General features: G+C 48.0%; 2 annotated features.

The window, feature by feature from the left end:
- Positions 274–1,036: an enhancer, noted in NCBI's record as "NANOG-H3K27ac-H3K4me1 hESC enhancer chr11:128740730-128741492 (GRCh37/hg19 assembly coordinates)". NCBI's record gives its function as "activates a minimal SCP1, AML or CMV promoter by ChIP-STARR-seq in naive H9 embryonic stem cells {active_cell/tissue: H9 hESC(naive)}" and the evidence as "EXISTENCE:reporter gene assay evidence [ECO:0000049][PMID:30033119]".
- Positions 1,486–2,081: an enhancer, noted in NCBI's record as "NANOG hESC enhancer chr11:128741942-128742537 (GRCh37/hg19 assembly coordinates)". NCBI's record gives its function as "activates a minimal SCP1, AML or CMV promoter by ChIP-STARR-seq in naive H9 embryonic stem cells {active_cell/tissue: H9 hESC(naive)}" and the evidence as "EXISTENCE:reporter gene assay evidence [ECO:0000049][PMID:30033119]".

Consider the following 4,151-nt stretch of genomic DNA (forward strand, 5'->3'; position numbering starts at 1 on the left):
GGCCAAAGGGGCTGCACTCTGAAGGGACTGAGCACAGGAGGACATGAAGGGAGGCAGTCCCCGGGAGAGGTGGGCTCCTCCAAGGGTGCCTTTGGCTGGAGCACTCTTGCACGGCCGTGGAATCTTCCTTAGACTCCATGGCAGTCTAGGATGCATCCTCCCAACCTGCTCTCCCTCCTCCCCTCAGGGTCTGCCCTGAGTCCTGGTCTGAAAACTCCTCAGACAGCCTCCCTCTGACTTTCCTCACCTGGGCATCTCCTCCAACAAAATCTTGGCATTTTTAATCCCCTCTTGGCATCTGCTTCTCAGAGGCCCTGGACTGGTGCATGAGGCTCTTCAGATGGGATGTGAACTGTCAGAGAGCTTGGCAGGAGGCCCTTTGGAGTCCCACAGAACAACTCAGGAAAGGGGGCTTCCCTGACCCAATGTCCAGCGTGGAGGCCCTAGGGGGCAGGCATTCTGAGCCTCCCCACCTGTGTGGGCTGAAGGCGTGTCTTTGACTCTTGTGATCCAGCAGACAGCTGTGGAAATACAAACACATACAGAGAAACATGTGTCTCCCCCAGGTAAGCATTCATCCTCACAGAATAAACCCCAAACAGGGAGAAGTGTTTTTTAACTACTTCATTCATTTGCAAGGCAGGTACCTTTTGCACAATGGAGCCAGAATGTCTCATTATTATGCAGACCAGGGAGTTATCTTACCTTCATCCCCCACTCCTTGCCCCCAATCTTCAAAACTGGGCCCTTTTGGACCTGCTGGGAATGAGAAAGAGGACTGTTGCTAAGCAACAGGGAGGGCAGGGGATGCATTCTCCCTGTTCCACAAATCCTAGTCTTAAAGCACAAATGATAGCGTTTGCCCTGATGGAATCCTACACCTTCCAGTACCCCAGCGGGATGCACTCTCAGTCCTTCCGCCTTACCACTGTCTTCACGGAGAAATTCCGTTCCTGCTGTGGCGCCTGGCAACTGCTTCACTACCTCTGTAGCCATGAGACAGCCTGAGTCCTCCATGGTGGGATTGTGTGTGACAATGAGAAGACAGCCCAACTCCTCTTTCCCTGATGCAGTCCGGCCCCTCTGTGCTGTGTAGCCTCACCAGGTTCCCAACACTGATGAGGTTACACGCCCAGCATTTACTCCTCAGACTGGACCTGGAGCATCCCGCCGCTGGACCTGAGTGAAGACCAGAGTCAACAGACGGTTTTCTCTTTCTCTTAAAGAAGTTTGGAACATTTGAAACATATTATCCTATTCATGACTAATATTCCAACAGGAGTCATTCAGATAAACAAAAAGCCTTTCCAGGTGCTTGTCTGATTTAGAGGAAGGCAGCACATTCCCATTCACACAACAGAGGGGCCAGGTGCCTCTGAAAGAAGAGCTGATGTGTGGGGCTGAAAACAGGATCACTGGTTGAAAGTGCCTATAGGAAACAGACTCCCCAGCCTAGGGTTTGAGGTTGACTCTGGAGAAACCCAGGAAGGGTGTGGATTTGGGTTCTGCATTACTTAGGGTGGGGGGCGAGGCGTGTCCTGGAGAGAGGGGGTTGTGTGAAAATCTGCATACAGGGTGACTGACCCATGACTCCCTTCCTCTACTCAGCACCCAGGTGCCTCATCCCAGCCGTGTAGGACTCTAGGGAAATCCAATGGGCTGAGAGGAAAGACCTCCTAGTACTGATGCCTGAGTGTTCCTCCACCTGGCAGGACCAAATGCAGCCCTCTCCCTCACAGCTTCCGATGAGCTGACTAGTGGCGCTTTCTTAAATGACGGGCAGCCAAGGGTAATCAGACATTTGAGGAAAGGCTTTAACATGAAAAAGAAAGGTCAAGGCAAACAGAGAAAGGAAACCTGGAGTAAGTAGAGGCCTAGCAGGGGGCAAAATAAATGTCTAAAACCCTTACCTACCTTCAGAGAGAAAAGACGATATTATAGATGTCAAACAAGACGCTAGAAAAAAAGACTCCAAGAACAAGAAAGAGCACTTGGAAATTTAAATATTAGAGCAGATAAAATGATCTGAAAACAAAGCTAAGAAAATCTCCCAATAGTTTTTGTTAAGGAACAATAATAGGAGAGAAAAGATAAGGAAAGGATAGAATCCATGCAGGAGAGTCAGCAATCACAGGATGATAGGAGGTGGCAGCCATGAGAATGTACCTGGCCAACTTGCAGCTGCAGCTGCTGAGGCCCTCCACAGCCTCTGCTCCAAGCACACAGTCTGTGGGCTGCTCCTAGTCACTGAGTGAGGCAGAGCACCAAGGCAGGCCAGTTCTTGGAAGAGGTAGGCTCTCTGATGGGGCTTCAGCTCCGTGACAGCTGTCCCCTACGAGGTGCACCCTCCAACCCTCCCTCCCTCTCTCTTTCGCAGGGGTCAGACTTGCTGCCCCAGCCCCCAGCCTCCCTTAGATTCCTCCCCACACTCTCTCACCACCATCTCCCTTAACAAAATCCTCTCATGTTTCATCCTGTCCTGGCATCTCCTTCCTGGAGGACCCAGACTAATACTACAAGTTCCAGAAAGAAAGAACTGAAAAAATAGAGGGGATAAATTATGGAAGAATGATATATATACATTTTTTAGTTTCTCAGAATGAAAGGCCACAAGATTCCAAATTCAAAGAGCCCACTAAGAACCCCAAACAAAAAATGTAAACCACATCAAGGCAATCTCATGAAACTTCAAAACATTGGAGATAAAGCAAGAGAAATATACTGCACATCAATGATTATGAACAATTGTTCACCAAAAGGGCACTTGAATCCCCAAAGCCACACAGGATGCTACGAAAAACAGTGGAGTATTTTCAAATTGAAATGTTGAGGGAAAATAATTCTATACCTAGCCTAACCCTCAATTAAATGTGCAGGTGGAATAAAGACCATTTCAGATACACAAGGTTCAAATTACCTCTTCCACACCATTTCCTAGGACATGACTAGAAGATGCAGCCACCAAAGAAAGGGAAGAATCCCAGATAATGGGACACAGGAAATCCCAGACACAGGGGCTCCTGCACGGGCAAGAAGCAAAGAGTCTTGCCTGGGTGATGGTGAAGGACCACCCTGCAGGACATCTGCCCAGCTGGCCCTGAGAATAGCCAGCACCGAGGGGTGGCCACCTCTCAGGAAAATGGGACAGACTGAGTTGCCCACATGTGTTAAGAGGGTGTTTATGGTTCTGAAGGGGATTTTCAGGATGAATCAGTGATAGACATATAGAGAACTATGTAAATAAGAAAAGGAGAACATTGTTAACTCCACTAAATGCAAGCAACTATAAAGGAGAGAAAATGTACTTATAATACCCTAACTTGGTTGAGCTGTGAACAATATTAGAGTTATCAGAATGCAACATTGAGTATTGATCTAATAAAATTTCTGATCTAGCTACATGGGAGTGTGGAGAGGAATATAGAGGGGATAATGTGAACAAGAGCCTTTTTAAACATTATATGTAGATTACTTTAACAAAAATAAATTTTAAAGGCACAGTCCCTTTTATCTTTGAATAATTTACAATGAAATGGGGCAAGACGAAGCAAACGCCCTGATGGTGGATCTCTATGCCTTGCCCTGACCATGGGTCTCCATGCCATTCAGAAGGAGCATCTGATTTGCCCTGAACCACAGTTGCTCACCTGAACCACAGCTCCTGGAGCCCTGGGAGTGGTAGCCATCCCCCCACACCCCAACACACCCCAAGTAAGAATGGCACAGTAACTAGCACTGAGTGACTCGGGGGTATCTTCTCCCAGCATCCACTTTTGGGTAGGGGGAAAGGGATGAATCCTCTGCGTACAACTGTCACCATCATCTGCATTTTGGCATCTCCCCCTATTTTCTCCCACAAGCCCCTCTAAAAATTTCGCTGAGGGCAGAGAACTTTTTTCAGAAATGCAGCTCCAAGACTAATGCTCATAGTTGGACGGTGTGGTTGTGATTTTTTTCTGGTGGATAGTATTTCCTCTCCTTGACTCCAGCTCCAAGGGAGGGGTGGTCTTGTTTAGTGATGTGGAAAACATGCTTGGCAGCTGCAAGAGTCAGACAGGAAGAGCCAAGCAGTGTCCACTGGCGAGTCTCATTGATACATGACTTCATCACCACAGCCTCATGGGTTTTGCAAAACTAGCTCACTGACATGT

The sequence above is a fragment of the Homo sapiens genome, chromosome 11, assembly GCF_000001405.40.
Source record: "Homo sapiens chromosome 11, GRCh38.p14 Primary Assembly".
NCBI classification, from domain to species: Eukaryota; Metazoa; Chordata; class Mammalia; order Primates; family Hominidae; genus Homo; species Homo sapiens.